Raw genomic sequence first — 22,863 nt, 5'->3', positions numbered from 1 at the left:
CTTCCATGTATGAACCTATAAAATAAAAAAGAAGTTAGTTACTTCCAAGATACAATGGAGGTATAGGCATTGGGTAAATATTCCCATTCCAAAAGGGAGAAATCAGCCAAAAGAAAGGGGCTACAGGCCCTATACAAGCTTGAAACCTAGCAGGGCAGTCATTAAATTTTAGAGCTCCAAAAACAACCTCCTTTGACTCTATGTCCCACATCCAGAGCACATTAGTATAAGGGGTGGGATCCTAAGGCCTTGGGCAGCTCCACTCCTGTGGCTTTGCAGGATCTAGCCCCTACAACTGTTCTCACAGGTTGTTGACAGCCAGGAGCTTTTCTAGGTACAGGTTGCAAGCTGCCAGTGGCTCTACCACTCTGGGGTCTGGAGGATGGTGGTCCCCTTCTCACAGCTTTCACTAGGCAGTGCCCCAGTAGAAACTCTGTGTTGGGCCTCCAACCCCACATTTCCCCTTGGCACTGTACTAGGAGCAGTTCTCTGTGAGGGCTCTGCCCCTATAGCAAGCTTCTGTCTAGACACTCGGCTTTTTTTTTTTTTTTTTTTTAAGACAGGGTCTCACTCTGTTGCCCAGGCTGGAGTGCAGTGGCACCATCATGGCTCACTGTGGGCCTAGGCATTCCAGGCTCAGTCTTCCCAACTCATCTTCCTGAGTAGGTGGGACTACAGGTGTGTGCCATCATGCCTGGCTAATTTTTGTATTTTTTGTGGAGATGGAGTTTTGCCATGTTGCCCAGGCTGGTCTTGAACTCCTAGGCTCAAGTGATCCACCTACTTTGGCCTCCCAAAGTGCTAGGATTACAGGTGTGAGCCACCATGCCTAACCACTCAGGCTTTTTCATGTATCCTCTGAAATCCAGGCAGAGGCTGCCAAGCCTCAACTCTTGCACTCTGTGCACCCACAGGCTTACCATCATGTTGAAGCCCCCAAGGCTTATGGCCTGCACCCTGTGGAGCTGTGGCCTGAGCTGAACCTGGGCCCCTTTGAGTCCTAGCTAGAGCTTGAGTAGCTGGGATGTGGGAAGCAGTGTCTGAGGCTGCACAGGGCACTGGGGCCCTTGGTCTGACCCATGAAACCATTCTTCCTTCCTAGGCCTCTGGGCCTGTAATGGGATGGGCTGCCTCAAATGTCTCTGAAATGTCTGTCCTCAAGGACTTTTCCCACTGCCTTGGATATTAGCACTTAGCTCCCTTTCAGTTATGCAAATATCTCTAGCAAGGGGTTACTCTACAGCTCACTTGAATTCCTCTCCTGAAAAAGCCTTTTTTCTACCTCATGGGCAGTTTGCAAATTTTCCAAACATTCACGCTCTGCTTCCTGCTTAAATATAAATTTTAAATTTGAGTCATTTCTTTGCTCCCACATTTGAATGTAGGCTGTTAGAAGTAGCCAGGCGACATCTTGAATGCTTTGCTGTGTAGAAACTTTTTCTGCCAGATACCTAAATCATCACTCTCACGTTCAAACTTCCACAGAACCTAGGGCAGTGGCACAATGCAGCCAAGCTCTTTGCTAAGGCATAACATGTGTGAACTTTGCTCCAGTCCCTAAGTTCCACATTTCCATCTAAGACCTCGTCAGCCTGGTCTTCACTGTCCATATCACTATCAGCATTTTGGTCACTACCATTTAACTGGTCTCTACGAAATTACAAGCTTTCCCTCATCTTCTTATCTTCTTTTGAGCCCTGCAAACCATTCCAACCTCTGCCCATTACCCAGTTCCAAAGCTGCTTCCACATTTTCAGGTATCTTTCTAGCAACATCTTTCTCCTTGGGACTAATTTTCTGTGTTAGGGTGTTCTTGCATGCTATAAAGAAATACCTGAGACTGGGTAATTTATAAAGAATAGGGGTTTAATTGGCTTATGGTTTTGGAGGCTATACAGGCAACATGGCACTAACAACTGCTTGGCTTCTGGGAAGGCCTCAGGGAGCTTTTATTCATGGTAGAAGGTGAAGGGGAGCAGGCCACTCACATGGCAGAGCAGGAGCAAGAGAGAGAGAGGGTGGGGGAGGCACCACACATTTTCAAATGACCAGATCTCACTAGAACTCACTATTGTGAAGACAGCACCAAGCTATGAGGGATCTGCCCCCATGACCCAAACACCTCCTACAGGGCCTCACATCCAGCACTGGGTATTACAATTCAACATGAGATTTGGGTAGGAACAAATATCCAAATCTAAACTGTATCAACAAGTGTCATAAATAATTTATTTCTGAACATGCTATTCCTTCTCAGTCTTTCAGCTGTAGCTGAGCTAGCCTTCTTTCTCCTGCCTGAACACCTTTGCATAGGCTGTTCATTTGCCTGTGACTTTGTTCCCCTAGCCAACTACTATTGTTCTTCAAACTAAGCATCATTTTCTTTGGGAAATATTCCCTGAACCCCAAGGCTGGTTAGCTCTCATGGTAGATATTCCATGGCACCCTTTCCTTTTTTTTTTTTTTTTTTTTTTTTTTTAAGATGGAGTTTCACTCTTGTCGTCCAGGTTGAAGTGGAGTGGCACGATCTTGGCTCACTGCAACTTTTGCCTCCCAGATTCACGTGATTCTCCTGCCTCAGCCTCCCAAGTAGCTGGGATTACAGGCGCTTGCCACCATGCTTGGCTAATTTTTGTATTTTTAGTAGAGATGGGGTTTCACCATGTTGGCCAGGCTGATCTCAAACTCCTGACCTCAGATGATCCGCCCACCTCAGCCTCCCAAAGTGCTGGGATTACAGGTATGAGACACCGCGCCCAGTCTCCTTTACTATTTAACACTCTTCACGTTTGTAATTTCTCAGCCATTGTAAACTCTGTAAAGAGAAAGGCAATGTTGGGGTTGTTTGCTACGGTGTCCCAAACACCTAGTCTTGACTGGCACATAGTAAGCACTCAGATATTAGTTGAAGATGTGAGTGAACATATGCACAAGACCAACAAATTTATTTAAAATTTATTTTTCTTCAGACCTGGTGAACAGGGAGTACAACAAATTTTAACAAAAAACATAAACACACAAAGAATGCAGTTTGCTTATGATGTTTAATTTTTATGTTCACTTTTAATTTTACTATGGTATTATTATAGAAATCAAAGATTGATTCAATATCTAATTTTTATCAATTGCCATTTTGTTGTCATTATATCAAACCACAGCTTTTTAAAAGAAAGATCTTCACACTTAACTAACACTGTAAAATATTAATGATGACACTGAATTCCCAGTTCATCAACAGGCTACAAAAGAGAGAATATGTTCACTTTTCAAAAAAGCAACAAAATGGCCAGGTGCAGTGGCTTATGCCTGTAAGCCCAGCACTTTGGGAGGCCAAGGTGGGTGGATCACCTGAGGTCAAGAGTCCTAGACCAGCCTGGCGAACAGCCCGTCTCTAGTAAAAATACAAAAATTAGCTGGGCGTGGTGGCATGTGCCTGTAGTCCCAGCTACTTGGGAGGCTGAGGCAGGAGAACTGCTTGAAACCAGGAGGTGGAGGTTGCAGTGAGCTGAGATGGTGCCACTGCACTCCAACCTGGGTGACAGAGACTCCTCCTCCTCCTCCTCCAAAAAAAAAAAAGCAACAAACCTGGCCATGGCCATGTGCAGTGGCTAATGCCTATAATCTCAGCACTTTGGGAGGCTGAGGTGGGAGGTTCGCTTGAGGCCAGATTTCCATACCACCCTGGGCAGCAAAGTCAGACCCTGCCTCATAAAAACCAAATAATAAAAAGTAACAAATCAAACCTCAAGCCAGAACATCATATTGTGTGTGAGTTGAAAGTGTTCTTTTTTCTTCCAGAATCTGTATTAGCAAAGTTGCAGAAGGACAAAAAAATCTTAGATGACAAAAGTAGTTTAAGCACTTTGCTTTCTTTTTGTGGAGCTTCTAGTCACTATTGGCATTCGAGAGAAATTAATGGTTGTTCTGGCTTTTAAAGCTTTTTTAAAGTACTTAAAAATTGACTGAAGGCTAGAGGAAGGGGCTAAGATGTACTTTTCTGTGCCAGCAGAAACCATAGGAAATTCCTTTTTGAAAACAGTAGCTGCAGGTTTATCCAAAGGCTTAGGACTTGTCACCCATTCACGGCAGTGGTGCTTTATCCATGCTAATAATTGTACATCACTTCCCAGCTGGTGTCCTACGTGATGTTCAGAGTCGATAAGTGCAACAGCATATACTTTGCTCATCACTTCCCACCTTCTACGAACAAGCAAGTCCATAAAAACCAAGCCTCCATAACCATGTACAATGAAGGCAATATCCTTGCCTTCAGTCTTTGAAATGAAGTAATCCCATATGTAAGCCGTGTGTTCTTCGGGGGTGTTGCTGCATCTTTTTGGAATGCATTTGGGAGGATGCTGGAGAGAGAAAAAGCTCCCACCTTGAACCATTTTTAGAGAAGATGACTCAATATTTTGTGTTAAAAGGCCTTTCCACTCTTTTTCCACCTTTGGTTCCACAAAATTATCATTGGGGTTTAGCACAATTACATCATAGTGTGCCTGCAATGCCATTTGAATACATGGTATCTGACTTCCATGTTGGAGACCATGATGTATTATTGCCTGTTGACTCCACTGACCAGCTCGAAAGACCCCATGGTCTTGAAGAAGGATAAGAAGAGCAGAATGGTGATTTGTTAATGCTTTCTCGCTCATGAAAAAGAAGCTTCTTGGTTCTTCTTTATCAGCCTCAGGTGGGATATATACTTTTTCTAATTTGCACACTTTCTCCAAAAGCTCATAAATGTATTGTTCAAGCAAATGGCCAAGGGCCTGGTAGCGCTTGCTATTTTTCTCAAGGACATTTTCATAATAGTTAAAGACAAAAGGCCTTTGTGTCTCAGTATGTCTGAATTCATCTTTTTCATTGAAGTCATATTTAAGTTCTCCTAGTAAGTCAGATTGTTCAATAAATTTTTGGAAGCTCAGCTCCTGTGTCATTGGTAACCACTGAAAGTTAAAAGAGTAATAGTATATAAGTGCTAGCAAAAGTAAAATGAAAATTTCAGCTTGCCAAATTCTTCCTATGGCACATGATGCTAAATTAAGCATGTCAGAAAGACATTAACCTTCTAACCTATGGTAAAGACGTCAATTCAAAATAATTGTGAATGATTCAAAGCAGTGAAAGACTGAATATATGAAGAGACAATGGAGAGACCATATGTAAATATGGATTTTTTGACATAACCTGCAGCAACCTGCCCAGGAAGCCAACCCCTCATTTACAATAAACAACTCAGGAAGTCAGTCTGGTATGTCAGACTGGCAGGAAACCAGATTTCTATCACTAGTGAAAATTCAGGAAACTAACCAGTAACTTCTATAACAATTGGTGCCAAATGGCAAGAACTTCATTAATAACTGACAGCTTTCGTAATTTTGTCCCTATTTCCAACTTGAGACCAACCAGAGAGAGCCAAATATGTACCCCTAACCAATCACGCAAGATGTCCCCATTTCTAGTTAGCTCACCTACAGCTTCCCCATGACAACTTGCAATCAGGGCAAATGCGAAGTCTTCTCTTTTTTCCCCCACTATACAGCTCTCCTACTCTTCTGCCTGCCTTGAGTCTCTGCCAAAACGCAAGTGATAGTGGTGGACTCCCTTGCTACAGCAGGCTCAGAATAAATAGGCTTTTCTCATTTGGTTGGTCTTCATTTATTTCTGCAGAAGATATTTAATAACTTTTGCTGTTAAATGAACGGCAGAAGATAGAAGCGGGAGTGAAATGTGAATCAGGCAATGGAGATTATGATCAATTCAGCGAATACTAGAAGATACAGTTATTCTGATGTCTGAGAAGGAAAAAAATAGGCTAGATGAGAAGTTAACTTAGTTGCTGTAGGTAGAGCTTAAAGCGGGGGAAAAAAGGCTTTGAAAGGTTAAGTGGCTTTCTCTAAAGCCAGACAACTATCAAAGAAATGATTGCATATGAGGCTGACTCTCAAATGCACTCTCTTAACAGATATATTAACACTCTCCCTTCTTAATTTCTTAACACTGACACTGGCAAGCTACAACCTACTTCCAATAAGTTGCACTCAAAATGATTTTCAGTGCAACTTGAGTTGCTATTAGGCCTAAGGCAAAATTCAAATGGTGGTTGCTTGGATGTCTTAAATCTCTTTTAATTTTTTTTTTTTGAGATGGAGTCTCACTCTGTTGCCCAAGCTGGAGTGCAGTGGTGTGATCTTGGCTCACTGCAACCTCCACCTCCCAGGTTCAAGCAATTCTCCTGTCTCAGCCTCCCAAGTAGCTAGGATTACAGCATATGCCACCACACCTAGCTAATTTTTTTGTATTTTAGTAGGTTTCACCGTGTTGCCAGACTGGTCTTGAACTCCTGAGCTCAGGAAATCCACCTGCCTCGGCCTCCCAAAGTGTTAGGATTACAGGCATGAGCCACCACACCTAAATTTTTAATTTTTTTCCCCACTTCAATAAGCTGGTCTAAGATTTCTTAACTCCCTTCTCACTTTCTAAATCTTATTCTCTGACCCCTCTAACGCAACAGGTACTTTATAAAGGTTTTTGGTTGTCCAAAGCACTATCCACACTGCTCTCCATTCCTTCCTTTTCTATGAAAAATGCTTCTAGTCTTTGCTGATCTCAGGTGTTATTTTGGAGAGACAGGGTCTGACTCTGTCACCCAGGATGGAGCGTGGTGGTGTGATCACAGCTCACTGCAGCCTTGACCTTCTTATCTCAGGGAAAAAAAAATATTAAAAGAGATTTAAGACATCCAAGCAAGCACCCCCTCAGCCTCCCAGGTAGCTAGGACTACAGGCACATGCCACCGTGCCTGGCTAATTAAAACAAATTTTTTTTAGAGATGGGATCTCACTATGTTGCCTAGGCTGGTTTGAAACTCCTGGGCTCAAGTGATCCTCCTGCCTTGGCTTTCCAAAGTGCTGGGATTACAGGTGTGAGTCACCATGCCCAGCCTCTCTCTCAGATGTTATTACGTAATTAATTTACTTTTTCTAAAGTGTAAATAATTGACAGACTTAACTATCCTTTAAAAAAAAAAAAGCCTTGAAAATGGATGCAATGCACGGCAAAAATCCATGCTTCAAAAATCCAAGAATTTTTTTTTTTTTTGAGACAGAGTCTCGCTCTGTTCCCTAGGCTGGGGTGCAATGGCACGACCTTGGCTCACTGCAACCTCCACCTCCCAGGTTCAAGCTATTCTCCCGCCTCAGCCTCCCAAGTAGCTGGGATTACAGACATGTGCCACCACGCGTGGCTAATTTTTTGTATTTTTAGTAGAGACAGGGTTTCACCATGTTGGCCAGCCTAATCTCGAACTCCTGACCTCAGGCGATCCACCTGCCTCGGCCTCCCAAAGTGCTGGGATTACAGGCGTGAGCTACCGCGCCCAGCAAATCCAAAAATGTTTTACATCGAGGCCGTGGTGAAACAATCTAATGGGATGTCACAACCTTGTTCAAAATTTTCAATGGTGATGTTTGTTGACTTCTTGTTTCCAGACTGGCATGTAAAAATCTTGGAAGTTGCTACTCAGTCCTAACAACAAGTAAAAAGCTAGACAAACCAAAAATCAACAGCTCTTCTTCATAAGTTCCATAAAATAAGTAAGGTTACTGGGCATACTACTGCCTCCAAAATTGGAGGGACTGAAAGCAAGTGAATGTAGAGAATCACAACTTACCAGAGCAGAAACTAGCCGCTGAAGCCTCCAATGGAACAAGTACCAGGATAGGTAAACCTGAAGGATCAGTGTGGACAAGTCAGAGGGACCTAGCCATTCCCTCTTCCCCGCTCCCCAATTTTTTTTAAGCTCCTGGATCTCTCACAGGTCCTCAGGGTGATTATCCATGCCTCTGGTAGTGGGTGGGGAAAAGGAGCCATTTTGAAATACGCCAGAGCATTTTGTTCTTCTTAACAAGGTCTGCCCTCAGGAGAAGCTATTTAATGAGAAGCTAACCTGCTGGGGTTTTATCAGAGCCTAACTGACTTGGGGGAAGGGAAATACCCAACTCTAGCCCGCTCTAGCTACCCTGCCCAACCCAAGGGGGTTGTAGTGAACTGAGACCTGTGAAGTTCACAGTCTAGATGCATAGGCTTACTAAAATTCTCAATGGTCTCCCTTCTCACTCAGAATGAAAACTAAGTTCTTACCATGGCCGACAAGGTCTCACATGGCCCTTAGCTCTCCAATGTCATTTCCTACCACTCTCTCACTGGCTTACTCATCCAGTTACATGATCCGGGTCTTAGCTCTTTCTCAGGTGCCATTTCCTACCACTCTCTCACTGGCTTACTCATCTAGTTACATGATCTGGGTCTTAGCTCTTTCTCAGGTGTCATTTCCTACCACTCTCTTGTTTACTTCACCATAGTTGCACCTGGTCTACTTTGCTGTCAATTTGTGAAGGAAGCTCCTGTTTTAAGGGTATTCACTCTTGCTATGCCCACAGCCTGGAATATTCCTCCCCATTATAGATATCTATAGGGCTTTTATTTTAAAGTTTCTGCCCACTTTTTATCTCATCAGAGTGATTTTCTTTGAGCAGTCTATCTGAAAGAGCAACTCTCTCCCTTCCTTTTTTTTTCGGCACTTATTACCAACTGACGTATGTTTGCTTACTGTCTACTTCTCTCCATTAGAATGTAAGTTCTATGACAGCAGGAACAGGGACTTTGTTTTGTTCACTACTGTATCTCTAGTTCTTGGAATAGCGTCTGGTGCACAGTAGGCACTTAAATATTGTTAGAATTTTACAATTTTTTGCCAAGCACATAAAGAAGTAAAGCACACTTTAAAAGTCCTCTAGCAATATATTAATACATAAGAGAAAGATGCAAAGCTTTTGAAAAATTATAGAGACTTCTTTTATAATTCTAAACTTAATAAATGTCAAAGGTTTATTAATTATTCTTAAAGAATATTCCATCCATCAATTTATATATGCTTTGTCTTTTGCAAATAAAGATAAACCATCTCTCAAGCAAATTCAACATGGTTCATCAAAATAAAAAGGGAGAGAATCAAACAATTTTTATGCTTAATTTTCCAAAGACTGGATTAGAATAAGATAGTGTAGGGGAGGAAAAATAATTATTTCCTTAACCCTCATGAGTTCTTAGTTGGAATGAACCCTTGTAACAACAGAAAAACAAAGAAGTTTATTAATGCATGCAGCGCATATCACCTTAGAGAAACGTAAATGCGGAGTAACTCAAAACAGTGGCTTACAACTCTGGCTTATGTAAGTATCTTCAACGAAGAACAATAAATTTCTGGAGAGAAGAAAGAACAAAGGAAAGAGTTTTAGGCTTCCAAGGGTGAGAAACTGTGGGAATGTAAATCTACAGAAGGAAACTAATACAGTAAGGTTTGTTTGCAGATTCGTCTGGGGCTTTCTGGGCTGGTAAGAGCCTAGACAGAATTTATGTCCTGCCTTTTAGGCAGAAAAAGGAGAGAGCGAGCTTTCCCTCCTTAATTGCCTTCAGCTCAAAAATAATTTTTATATAAAAGAGGTATATTTTGGCCTGGCACAGTGGCTCACGCCTGTAATCCCAGCACTTTGGGAGTCTGAGGCAGGTGGATCACGAGGTCAGGGGTTCGAGACCAGCCTGGCCAACATGCTGAACCCTTGTCTCTACTAAAAATACAAAAATTAGCCAGGCATGGTGGCAGGTGCCTGTAATCTCAGCTACTCGGGAGGCTGAGGCAGGAGAATCACCTGAATCTGGGAGGCGGAGGTTGCAGTGAGCTGAGATCGTGCTATTGCACTCCAGCCTGGGCAATAAGAGCAAAACTCAGTCTCCGGGAAAAAAAAAAAAAGGCATATTTTGAGGTGACATTCTGGTTTCCTTCAATAGTTTACCTTCAAGAATAAGATTGTTAGAGCTAGAAGGGACCTTATTGATATTCTTAGCTAACATGTTTATTTTATAAATGGAGAAGTTGAGGCTTTCAAAGGTAAAGTGGCATGCCCAAAGTAACTGAGGCAGCCCAGGAGCCTGAGAGAAGATTTTTTTTCCCCTTTTTTGACTTTTATTTTAGGGTCGGGGGAATGTGCAAATGTGTTACAAGGGTAAATTTTGTGTCACTGGGGTTTGGTATACAAATGATTTCATTACCCAGGTAGCGAGCATAGTATCTGATAGGTAGTTTTACAACGCTCACCCTCCTCCCACTCCAAGATTAGTTTTTACCAAAGATTTAAAAATGCATAGTATTTGACTTTTTATTTCATTCATTTACCAAAAATTTAGTGAGGCCATTTGGTAGGCACTTTGTTTCCTATGTCAAGTACTCCAGTCGTTTTACGCAGAATAAAATTTTAAAAAAGGAGAACAGCATATACGCATTAAAGAAAATTTGAAATTAGGCTTTTCCAGTATCCTGGATTAGGTGGTGACACAGCTGTAATGACTTGTTCTAGGTGTGGTTATTTCTTAAAAAACAATTGTGAAAATATACATAACAAAATTTACCATTCTAACCATTTTTAAGTGTGCAGTTCAGAGGCATTACGTACATTCATATTGTTGTGTAACCATTACTGACATCCATCCACAGAATGCTTTTCATCTTACAAAACTGTAACTCTATACCCATTAAACAATAACTCCCCATTCTCCTCATCCTAGGCACTAGCAACCACCATTCTACTTTCGATCTCTCTGAATTTGACTTCTCTAGGTTAGGTGTGATTATCTTTAAAGAAGAGGGTGGGTGGGACACCAGAATCATAGATGCAAATAACTTTAATTAGCGTATTTGGATTTTTAAGGAACCCCTTTCCTTTCTAGGATCAAAAGTGGTTACATTTAACAATATTTACATTTTTCACAGGTGATTAGTAAGCTTTTATAAGAAGTAATTTTATAATCTGAGAAGTTAGGAAATCCCCTGGTTACAGAGTAATAATCTAATACAGTAATTATAATCCTTTTTTATATTTAGGAACAAGGTCCTTTTGTATATACCATGCCATTAAGAAGCACAGAATGGAGAATACTTTTACTCAGAATATTTAAAAATATCTAATGATACTTTTTTTTTTTTACAACGAGTAAGTTTTCATTTATTTTCATATTTAGGAAAGCAAAACAAAACAAAAAACCTCTAGAAAATATGTTTGAAAGAAAGAATACTGTTTTGGTACAAAAGCAGCACTATTTTTCTTTTCCCAACACAGAAAGCAATTATGCAGTTTTTTAGAAAAATAATAATGCCTGTATTACAATTCCATTTAGTAAATTGTAGAAAATAATAGTGGTTGTGAAATTATATCTGTAGAAATTTCAAAATAAGATGAAAGTACATAATGTCCCTCCTCACTGTTCACCTCTCCCTAGGGAACAAAAAAGTTGTATTTAATCCACCAGAGGCAAGGACACATAGAAAAAAGAATATTAGAGATAGGAAAAAGAAAAAAGCAGATGTCACTAAGTGTTGGTTTTACCAAATTGGAGTATGCAACAGAATCGTCTGGGAAGTTTATTTTTTATGTTTTTTGGAGACAGGGTATCTGTGTGTCGCCCAGGCCGCAGTACCGTGTAGCGATCATAGCTCACTGCAGCCTCAAAGTCCTGGACTCAAGTAATCCTTAAATCTCATCTTCCCCAGTAGCCGGGGACTATAGGTGTGCTCCACCGTGCCCGGGTCATTTTTTTTTTTTTTTCCGAGACAGTCTGGCTCTGTCGCCCAGGCTGGAATGCAGTGGCCTGATCAAGGCTCACTGCAACTTTTAACTCCATGGGCTTAAGTGATCTTCCTGCCTTAGCCTCTTGAGTACCTGGGACTACAGGCATGCGCCACCACGTGTGGCTAGTTTTTTTCTTTGTAGAGAGGAGGTCTCACTATATTGCCCAGGCTGGTATCAAACTCCTGGGCTCAAGGGTGAGTCATAGCATCTGGCCTGTATATTTTTGTGGAGAGGGGGGTCTTGCTTTGTTGCCCAGGATGGTCTGGAATGTCTTGGCTCAATCTATTCTGCCTCGGCCTCCCAAAGTGCTGGGATTACAGACGCGAGCCACTGTGTCCGGCCCAGCTTGACTTTAGAATCAGTTAAGTTCTTTAGTTAAAAAAGTTAATTTGGGCCAGGCGCAGTGGCTCACGCCTGTAATCCCAGCACTCTGGGAGGCTGAGGCGGGCGGATCACGAGGTCAGGAGATCGAGACCATGCTGGCTAACATGGTGAAACCCCATCTCTACTAAAAAATACAAAAAATTAGCCGGGCGTGGTGGCGGGCGCCTGTAGTCTCAGCTACTCGGGAGGCTGAGGCAGGAGAATGGCGTGAACCCAGGAGGTGAAGCTTGCAGCGAGCCGAGATTGTGCCACTGCACTCCAGCCTGGGCGACAGAGCGAGACTCCGTCTCAAAAAAAAAAAAAAGTTAATTTGTGAGGAAACTGAAAATTCAATTATTTTTCAGAAAGCAATGTTTTTGTTAAACAGAAATTAACCAAATAAAACGAAATCCTTACAGTAAACTTCAATCCCAGCAAGACTTAAAGTATTTCTGCTTTGCAGTCATTCCTGCCATGTAGAACACTTCCCCAGGCCCAACACCCCACAACACCTGGGGCCTTACCTCTACCTGGGGACTGACCACATTATAATTAAGAAGGCTTAACTCACGATGAAGGGGACTGCTCTAGTGGACGAGTTGGGCCGATCCCTTTATTGACTCCGTTAGGATGGGAGATGGGGGTTGGAGGGATAGGCGTTAGGGGTATAAAGGGGCCAGCTTGGGAATCAAACCCTACTTCCAGAGTCCCTTCGGGCTTTGAACATGCCAGAAACATTTTCCCTGCTTAGAGCACTGTGCTGAATTTTGTTAAACTTGTGATTAAATCGTCATGAAAGCTTACACGTGCATTTAAAAATTATTCAGATATGCACCATTAGGGATAATCAGGCTAATAGTACCAGACCTTGAGTTCATTGAGGACTGGATTAGTCCCTTAAGTATCGTGGTAAATGTTAATTGAACAAATTCCAAGTTTATAGCCACCCACTTTCTGTCATATCAGCATTTCAGTTATTGAAAAATTAAGTTCTAGCTTTTCTTTTAAGGAACTTTAAAAATCACAAGTTCGAATTTTAAAAAGGAATCCTAAGACATTTTTCCTCGTCTGCTGACATATTTCCACAGCAAATGCTAAACTAATAGCTAGGCTATTATTAGGTGATTTTGCCATCTTAAAATCTTTTGGTTTCTGAGTTCGAGGAAAGGCGTTGGGGGCAAATATGTAAGAGAGGCTGTGAGGGATGTAATACTGCAAACGCTAACGTTTTGTTTTCATAGTTGTTTGGCCACCTCGCGAGATCCAGTGAACCGGAGGAGTTCCTGTTTTTCCCTTTTAATTTTTGTCAATCTAATCTTCAAAGTCAACAAAGCTAAAATCGAGCACCCAGGTGGTTCACCTCCCCAGAGGGGCTCAGATCATGAAATAAACGCCACCAAAAAAACGCTGGAAGAGGCAGCCCACAGTGAAAAGTCCCAGGAAGTGATTTCCGGTCGAAGGTGGGAGGGGCGGCTGATTTCCGGTCGAAGGGCAGGCGACGGCTCTTGCGCAAGCGCGCTTCGCACTTTGCGGGCTTTTTTTTTTTTTTTTTTTTTTTTTTTTTTTTCCTTTCCCCTCCCCCTCCCTCTCCAAGCCGGAGGGGTCCTGAGGTGACAGCGCCTGCAACTGAAATTTCAGCAGCGGGAGAAGATGGACAAGAGAAAGCTCGGGCGACGGCCATCTTCATCCGGTGAGAAAGGGTCAGAGAAGGGCTGAACATATTGTCTCCTACCCGGGGGAAACGGGAGGCGCAGGCGGCAGCTGGGGTTGCGGCCCGAAGCCGCGGGGGCGAGGGCGGGGGCGGGGAGAGGAAGGGGCGCGCACAATGGAAGGCTCCCGGGTCGCCCCCGCCCCTGGAGTCGAAGACCCGGTCCGAGCTGTCATCGAAGCCTCGGGCGCTCTTCACCTCAAAACCCCTTTTATTTTTTCCCTCCTCCCGCGAACACCCTCCTTGCGTCTCATCGGCCCATGGATCTTCCCGGTTGGCTTGTCACTCTCTGCCACGCCTTCCTCGTAATTCCACCAATGTTCCAATTTCATTTCGGCTTCTCAGCGCCTGACCCCACTTTCCTCTCTTCCTTTGATTCTCGACTTTGCGTCCCTTCCCCTCTCCCTCCTCTTTCCCTCAGCAGGTAGCTGCTGCTGGGGAGGAAAGGTGGGGCTTGCGACCGGAGACTCCTTTTCTTTGATACAATGCCTCTCCGGGTCTCGTTCTGCTGAACAGGCCCGCCTAATAGCCTTTTTCTTTTCCAGCCTACCCTGCGTCTTCCAAAAGTGATTGGAAAGTCAAACAAAGGATTTGAAGCCGTGCTTTCGTTGTGTTTTTATTTTCAGCATATTTTTTGTTTTGGACGTTACTTTGTTTTAAATGACTATCTTCAGTTTTGTGTACAACGTCTTGGAAACAAGAAAGTGGAGTTATAAAAACGTGAGGTAGAGCTCCTCCCAGTTGAGAAGTTTTTATCAAACATTTCATCCATTAGGGGGTCCTCAAGTCCTTGTGTTAAGTCCTATGGATGGTAGGAGGAGAGGACGAGGACTCATATGCTTACAGTCCAGTACACAAACGAACGCCCAATGAATCAATTATTTCATTTCATTTTTCTGTTTCTGATGGTACCGTTGGTTTCTGCAGAGACAGTTAACAATTACAGATTTATTGGCCGGGCGCGGTGGCTCACGCCTGTAATGCCAACACCTTGGGAGGCCGAGGCGGTCGGATCACAAAGTCAGGAGATCGAGACCATCCTGGCTAACATTGTGAAACCCCGTCTCTACTAAAAAATGCAAAAAATTAGCCGGGCGTGGTGGCGGGCGCCTGTAGTCCCAGCTACTCAGGAGGCTGAGGCAGGAGAATGGCGTGAACCCGGGAGGCGGAGCTTGCAGTGAGCCGAGATCGCACCACTGCACTCCAGCCTGGGCAACAGAGCGAGACTCTGTATCAAACAACAACAACAACAAAAAAAAAACAAAAAAAACCAATTCCAAATTTATTTAGGAGTGCCCTGTGGCAGTGCATCTCAAACTGCTTTCAGCCTTAATTGCAAAGGAGAGTGATTATGGATCTCTGGGGACACTGCTTGAAGCAGTTGAAAACCTGAAATCCCTTTTCATATGCAACCAATGTTATCGATGTTCTTGGTGTATATTCTGGAGATAATAGTTTTTTCCTTTGAAAGCACATGTATAAATGATATATATGTATATTTATACATACATGTAGGTATATGCCTCCAACTGATGAGTGTTTTAATAGTCTCCACCCCCCACCAAACCTCTAAGTAAAATGGACACATTAGGAAAACGCACAATGCTTAGCTGGTGTCATTTGCGGGCTTCCTAACACAGAACTTTAGGTGTGATCATATCTTCCTTTGAGATGCACAACCTTTTTTAAATAAATGCATTTCATCTAGGTTTAATACATTTTTGAGGAGGGAAGGTAAGATATTTGCCTTGTAATTCAACAAGTCACGTTCCTTTTTACCTGATTACACTTAGATTTATTTATTTGTCACAGTAACTTGATGTAAGTAGTTGTGGGAAGTGGATTTTGATAATAAAGCTGTTAATCCTTAAAAGACATTGATATTTACGTTAGTTATATCTCTAGAGAGCGTTTTCTTTTTCTCGTGATCTCTCTTTTGGAGCTGTCCTTTCTGAAAAGTAAGGTATAATAAAATCCATACCCAAATCTAATGTTACCTAGCTGTTCTCCAGTATGCCTCTAGTTTTAAGATGTGCACTAATTAATTTTTAAGTATGCTTCTGCTTTTCTTAATAGCGTATATTTAATTTCCTGAATAAATTCTCAGAAATAAAACATTGGCTGGTTGAAAGATTCCGTGTAGTGGTTGTAGGCATGCAGTTGCCATTTCATTGTAAGTTGTTGCTAACTGGAACCCAAATGAAGTGACTTTTTTTTTTTTTTTTTTTTGAGATGGAGTCTCGCTCTGTTGCCCAGGCTGGAGCGCAGTGGCACAATCTACCACCCCTGCCTCCCAGGTTCAAGCGATTCTTCTGCCTCAGCCTCCCTAGCAGCTGAGATTACAGGTGCCTGTCACCATGCCCGGTTAATTTTTGTACTTTTAGTAAAGATGGGGTTTCACAATGTTGGCCAGGCTGGTCTCAAACTCCTGAGCTCAGGTGATCCACTTGCCTCGGCCTCCCAAAGTGCTGGAATTACAGGCGTGAGCCACCGTGCCCGGCCATGAAGTGACATTTATAGTCATCAAAGTTTCCTAAGTATGCAGAAGAGTTTGATTAATAAAACAGGAAGAAGAGGTAGAAGGAAGGTGGGTAGCAGTAGAAAGATAAAATAAAACACAAAATTTGAAGTTTTATCTGTGAGACTACATTAGGCTGCCCTAAACTTTCTGCTAAACAAGGAAGAACTGTAAAATGTTCACAGTGTACCGCTCAAAACTTTTTCAGTTGCAAGTAGCAGAAACCCAATTCCAGATGGTTTAAGCTAAACACATGTATTTGTAACTCATGTAACTGATAACTATACCATTTAAAGCAGTATATTAGATGGTGATACACATTAAAAAACGGCTGGCATCAGAGACAGGTTCACTGAAGTTGAATGATAAAGTGTCTGGGAGCAAGGGAGAATGACCATTAAAAGTGTTAAACAACAAAAATACAGCACAGATAAATTAGAATCATAGACTGCAATTTTCAAGTGAATTTTTGAATCAAAATAGGAAACGTCAAGTAAATTTGAACCAGTTTTCAACTGATTGCTTCAGGCAACATTCTTGGAGGCCTGTGTCACTCTCATTTGTAGTTAAGGATAACGTATGTTCTTTAAGTACTTAGGCACTAGACATTGTGCTAAGAACTTCACAAACTTCAATATTTTCAAAAGCCTTATAAGGTAATTGTTTTTCATTTACAGATGAGAAAACCGGGATTTAGGGGCAGGATAAAGATTAGTAATAGCTAGTAAGGAACAGAATTCAAAATGTGGTCTCTAATTACAAAATCTATAGTTTTAACTTCATTTACTGCTACTAGTGTCCCTGATGGTATAACTTTCTTAAATCTTTCAGTAGGTCCAGGTGATGTTTGCTTTGCATTGAAAGTGTAATGAATGATAATTGAAGCTCAAGATGAGAACTTAACGATTAGTTATGATAAAGCTGCATTATTTGCAGCAATCTTAGTTGAAGTCATTGGAATGAATGGAATTGCCCACAAAAAATAGTATAGAGTGAGGAAGGTCTTAAATCACATACAACTAATTTCAAAGTGCGGAGGAAGAGATATTACTAAGCAGTTAGATAGGCTGATTAGGATTGTGACAGGTTCGGGAAGAAAGGGAGGAGAGTAAAAAAAATGTTAGCCTTTCAGAGAGTTAAAGTAGCATGAGGGTACTGGATTTGGCAATTAGGAGGCTACTTTTACTGATGGTAAGAGTGGTTAGTAGACTAGTAGACAAAAGCCAGATTTCAACAGGCTAGAGGAATGAGTGGCAGTGAGGAAATGGGGCAGCAAAAGTAAGCTGGGAAAATGAGATGGGAAGGAAATATTTCTAGAACAAGCTTGAGTAGGAAATTAGGTAGAAAGGCTTGTTTTTTTTAGGAATATGAGAGACTTAAATCAGGTTGGTAGGGAGTGGGAAAGGGGTGGAGAGGGAAAGATTGAATATATATCAGGTAGGAGATAATGGAGTGAGGTCCCAGAAGAAATGGGAGAGAGGGATGACATCAAAGAACAGTTTGGTGAGATATAGGGAAAGGAGAAAAGATGGATAAAGATATAGACAGATCTTGAGAAGCTAAAGATATTGCAGTTTTGGCTTCTAAAATGAAATAAGGTAATTTTTTGAGAAAGGGGCTTTTAAATGGTACTGGGAATGCAAGATAGGTCAATTAGGGATGAATATATATTAAGTACTCTTGCAGTCTTAGTTATAGCAAGTGTGAGTTTTATAGTAGTTGGAGCTGTTAGTACTTTGTGACTTAGTAGTGCCAAGCATTACAAGAGCAAGAGTTTGGAAGAAAAATGAGTTTAATTTTACTTAAAGGGTGTGGCAAGATATAAGGGCAAAGAGTGGATTTAGTGGCAGTGAGGAAGACAGTATATAGAATGAAAGGTTTGCATTTGAGAACTTGAGAGTTTTCCTTAAAGCTGTAAGGAACAGTTTTCCTTAAAGCCTTTCTTTTATTTTTTTGGAGACGGGGTCTCACTCTGCCCCCCAGGCTGGAGTGCAGTGGCACGATCTCGGCTCACTGCAAGCTCCGCCTCCTGGGTTCATCCCATTCTCCTGCTTCAGCCTCCCGAGTAGCTGGGACTACAGGAGCCCGCCACCACGCCTGGCTAATTTTTTTTTGTATTTTTAGTAGAGATGGGGTTTCACCATGTTAGCCAGGATGGTCTTGATCTCCTGACCTCGTGATCTGCCTGCCTCGGCCTCCCAAAGTGCTGGGATTACAGACGTGAGCCACTGCGCCTGGCCTCCTTAAAGCCATTCTTGAATGCGTATTGCTGAAATGGAGATATGTAGAAGTTTGTACCATTAAATGAAGATGAGTCCATTGTTTTGAGTGAGTTGATTAATGGATGTTTTAGTGCTTCAGAATGATGGTGAATTTTGATGATACGTAAACTATGAACCAAGAATCAGAGTATTCTAGACATGTTGGAAAGGATCTTGGGTCAGTAGATGGCAGTCATAAATATGGGCAAGGGAATATATCCAATTTTTTTTTTTTTTTTTTTTTTTGAGATGGAGTCTCGCTCTGTCGCCAGGCTGGAGTGCAGTGACGTGATCTCAGCTCACTGCGACCTCTGCCTCCTGGGTTCAAGCGATTCTCCTGCATCAGCCTCCTGAGTAGCTAGGACTACAGGTGAGTGCCACCATGCCCAGCTAATTTTTGTATTTTTAGTAGAGACGGGGTTTCACCATGTTGGCTAGGATGGTCTCTATCTCTTGATATCATGGTCCACCTGCCTTGGCCTCCCAAAGTGCTGTGATTACAGGTGTGAGCCACTGTGCCCAGCCAGGAATGTATCCAATTTATGTTAATTTTAAAGGAGGAATTATTGTAATAAAGTTAGAATATTAATAGGAGATGGTGGCGGTGGGGAAGGAGATTTTTTTTTTGTCTTCCCCCCAAAGGAAACAATGGAGATTGTTCATCTCTACTTCTGTTTTATAAGTGGGAGAGTTTTAACAAAGTAATATATCTAATAAAAAGCTAGGATTTAGTTAACCTAAGGTGGAGGAGAAATTCAAGGAAAATATTCAAAATTTAAGGAAACTGTATTGACTTTGGAAAAGAATTTGGTAAACTAGGGAAGAGATGAAGAAGATGTAGATGAGGGGGTAGAATTCAATTATATGAGGTGTGATAATAAGAAGGTGATAGGCTATAGGGATTGACACCTTGGTGGTGATTCCTAGGCTTGATGATGGAAGGCAGAGGATTGAAAAGTAAATTAAGGGGGTATGGTAACACAGAGAATGGGTTATGAATAAGATTGAGTAGCTCCAAAGATCCAGACTAGAATTCTGTTATAATGCCTTCCTGATGAATAACTTTCATTTGGGTTTTCAGTAATTTATGAATCTGGCTGATGTGGTCTGCTTCATCCTAGTTCGTGTGTGCTCGTATTGGTAAATCACCCTTGGGTTGTGCCTGGCTCCACCCATTTCTGCCTGTCTAAACCTTATTCTTCAAAGCCCAGCTCTTTTTTTTTTTTTTTTTTTGAGATGGGATCTTGCTCTGTTGCCTAGGCTGGAGTGCAGTGGCACGATCATAGCTCAATGCAGCCTTGAACTCCTGGGCTCAGGCTATCCTCCTACTTCAGGCTCCGGAGTAGCTAGGACTACAGGCCCGCACTATCATGCCTGGCTATTTTTTAAAAAAACTTAGTTTTTCTAGAGATGGTGTCTCACTGTGTTACCTGGGCTGTTCTTGAACTCTTCGCCTCAAGCGATCCTCCCACCTCGGCTTCCCAAAGTGCTGGGATTATAGGCATGAGCCACCATGCTCAGCCCAAGCCCAGTTCAGTTGTGCCTTTCCAAGAACCATTTCCTTGATTAATTCAAACTTAAATTTATGCCTGTTTCTGCACTTCTGTTGGTCTTTATGCCTCTTATATGATAATTATCAGATTCCATCATATATTCTAGCTTGCTGAGTTGTCTAATGTCTACTTCTATACTATTAACACTGTGACAGGGACTGTCATTAATTTTATTTCCCCATAGCATCCAGTATGCCTAGAGTGTACTGGTTTAGAGTACCATCTCTGGAATATGACCGGTGATGGATCACTATGGTAACGTTGGGCAAGTTATTTGGATTCCTCAAATCTTAATTTCTTAATCTATAAGATGGAGATTATACATTATTGATTTCATGATATAAGGATTAAGGAAAATAATTTGTGTAAAGCACTTAGCATAATTCCAGGCAATGATAATTACTATTATGTCAAATAAATAGGCTGGGTGCTGTGGCCCATGCCTGTAATCCCAGCACTTTGGGAGGCCAAGGTGGGCAGATCACTTGAGCTCAGGAGTTCGAGACCAGCCTGGCCAATATGGTGAAACTCTCTCTCTACTAAACATAAAAAATTAGCCAGGCATGGTGCTTCCTGCCTGTAGTCCCAGGTACTGGGGAGGCTGAAGCGGGAGAATCGCTTGAACCTGGGAGGTGGAGGTTGCAGTGAGCCGAGATCGTGCCACTGCACTCCAGCGTGGGTGACAGAGCAAGACTCCGTCTCAAAAAAAAAAAAAAAAAATTATGGAATAAATAAGTGAATGAGTGGGAAAAGTTATGCTTTTAGTTTTTTGACTCATATATTTAGAATGAGAGTAATTGGAGAGATTTTCCTATATGCTAATGCTAATATACTACAGTCTTTTAAAGGGAGATACTTGACTATAAAATGTTATAGTTACCATTTCTTTTGCACTAACTATGTGTTAGTCATAATGCTAAATGCCTTAATATGGACTATCATGCTTTAATCTGAACGATTAAAAAGGCAGATATTCTCCGCCATTTTACAGATGAGAAACTGAGACTCAGAGAAGTCACAACTAGTAAGCCGAGATACAAATTTAGGTTGTCTAGCTTTAAAATATGTACTCTTGAGCATGGTAACTATACCATACAGTCTCAAGTCGAGGCACATCATATGCTTATTTAAACACTCCAGAGCTAACCTGGTATAAGATGGAGCAAGTCAGCTATAAAAAAATTGTAAATTTTTTTATTAGACAAAGTTGGCCAAGAAGAAAAAAACATAAATATTTGGGAATTCACAGTAGCATTAATGAAAGGAAATAGGGGAACATACTACAAAACAGGATGGAAGCACTTTTAACCCAGTGAGACATTTTTGGGATATAAATTTGTAAATTAAAATTTAAGAAACTGACATTCCTTTTAAAATGACATGTACTTTTTTATTTGTATAAATTTAAGGGTTACAAGTACAGCTTTGTTATATGGGTATATTGTGTGGTGGTGAAATCTGGGCTTTTAGTGTAATCATCACCTGAATAGTGTACATTGTACCCATTAAGTAATTTCTTATCCCTCACTGCACTGCTCCTAGCCTTCCAAGTCTTCAATGACTGTTATTCCACACTCTATGTCCATGTGTATACACATTATTTAGCCCCTACTTATAGTGAGAATATGTGGTATTTGACTTTCTGAGTTCTTTTTTTTTCTTTTTTCTTTTTCTTTTTGAAATGGTTTCGCTCTGTCGTCCAGACTGGAGTGCAGTGGTGCAAAAACGGCCCACTGCAGCCTCGACCTCCTGGGCTCAAGCGATTCTCCACATGCCTCACTGCAGCCTTGACCTCCTGGGCTCAAGCGATTTTCCCACCTCAGCCTCCCAAGCAGCTGAGACCACAGGTGGTGTCACTGTACCTAGCTAATTCAAATAAATATTTTTAGAGACAGGGTCTCACCATGTGGTGCAGGCTGGTCCCAAACTCCTGGGCTCAAGCAGTCATCCTGCCTTGGCCTCCCAAAGTGTTGGGATTATAGGTGTGAGCTTCTAATCTGAGTTGTTTCACTGAAGATGAAGGTCTCCAGTTCTGTGTTACTGTAAAAGACGTGAGTTCATTCCTTTTTCATTCCGGAATAGTATTCCATTGTGTATATGTAGATATGTGTTTTGTTAAATTTAAAATTGACTAGAAAATGAATTTCTACAGGATACTTTCTTATCACTTATTTAAAAAATTCTTTATTTTTGGTAGTCAACTTGAGTACTAGTTTATTTAAATTATTTGAAGTTATCAAAAGCTTAAGTGTAGAGGTGAAAATAATTTTTTTTTTTTTTTGAGATGGAATTTTGCCCTCGTTGCCTAGGATGGAGTGCAATGGTGTGATCTTGGCTCACTGCAACCTCTGCCTCCTGGGTTTGAGCGATTTTCCTGTCTCAGCCTCCTGAGTAGCTGGGATTATAGGCACCTGCCACTACACCCAGCTAATTTTTTTTTTTTTGTATTTTTAATAGAGACGGGTTTCCCCATGTTGACCAGGCTGGTCTCGAACTCCTGACCTCAAGTGATCCAACCACCTCGGCCTCCCATTAGTGCTGGGATTACAGGCATCAGCCACCGCGCCTGGCCCAAAAATAATTTTTTAGATCAGGAAAACATTACATGGTTTCTCAGCAAGTGCATGTAGTGAAACTAATGCTGTGTATTATGAACTTAGAAGAAATCATTTCAGCAATATAGATTTCTGGGTAGTCTATATTTCATTAGTTATTATTATTATTTCTGATTTTAAGTACCATACAGTACACATATCTTTAGTGTATAGTT

At 41.7% G+C, this 22,863-nt stretch overlaps 1 protein-coding gene and 1 pseudogene across 19 annotated transcripts in view, besides 1 other annotated feature; one reads left to right on the top strand and one right to left on the bottom strand.

Annotated features, from left to right (window-relative positions):
• Positions 1–2,946: 2,946 nt before the first annotated feature.
• ARB2BP (ARB2 family member B, pseudogene) lies at positions 2,947–7,967 on the bottom strand (annotated as a pseudogene). The gene is made up of 2 exons (NR_036433.2): positions 7,679–7,967; positions 2,947–4,952 (listed from the first exon to the last, which is right to left on the bottom strand). The product of NR_036433.2 is annotated as an ARB2 family member B, pseudogene (transcript).
• Positions 8,428–8,657: an enhancer, noted in NCBI's record as "active region_20164". NCBI's record gives its function as "activates an Ori minimal core promoter by ATAC-STARR-seq in GM12878 lymphoblastoid cells {active_cell/tissue: GM12878}" and the evidence as "EXISTENCE:reporter gene assay evidence [ECO:0000049][PMID:35858748]".
• Positions 13,622–22,863, top strand: part of SENP7 (SUMO specific peptidase 7) — a 189,008-nt gene continuing 179,766 nt past the window's right edge. For all 18 annotated transcript variants that reach the window (XR_007095714.1, XR_007095713.1, NM_001282803.2 and 15 more), the window contains exon 1: positions 13,622–13,743. Coding sequence is in view for 11 of the 18 variants with exons in the window: in XM_005247662.6 (XP_005247719.1) it covers positions 13,704–13,743 (40 nt within the window). In the remaining 7 variants the exon portion in view is untranslated. The remainder of the gene's footprint in view (positions 13,744–22,863) is intronic.

This window comes from Homo sapiens, chromosome 3 (genome assembly GCF_000001405.40).
Source record: "Homo sapiens chromosome 3, GRCh38.p14 Primary Assembly".
In the NCBI taxonomy this organism is placed as follows: domain Eukaryota; kingdom Metazoa; phylum Chordata; class Mammalia; order Primates; family Hominidae; genus Homo; species Homo sapiens.
The sequence above is the reverse complement of the archived record's forward strand: the minus strand, read 5'-3'. Positions and strand labels throughout refer to the sequence as shown.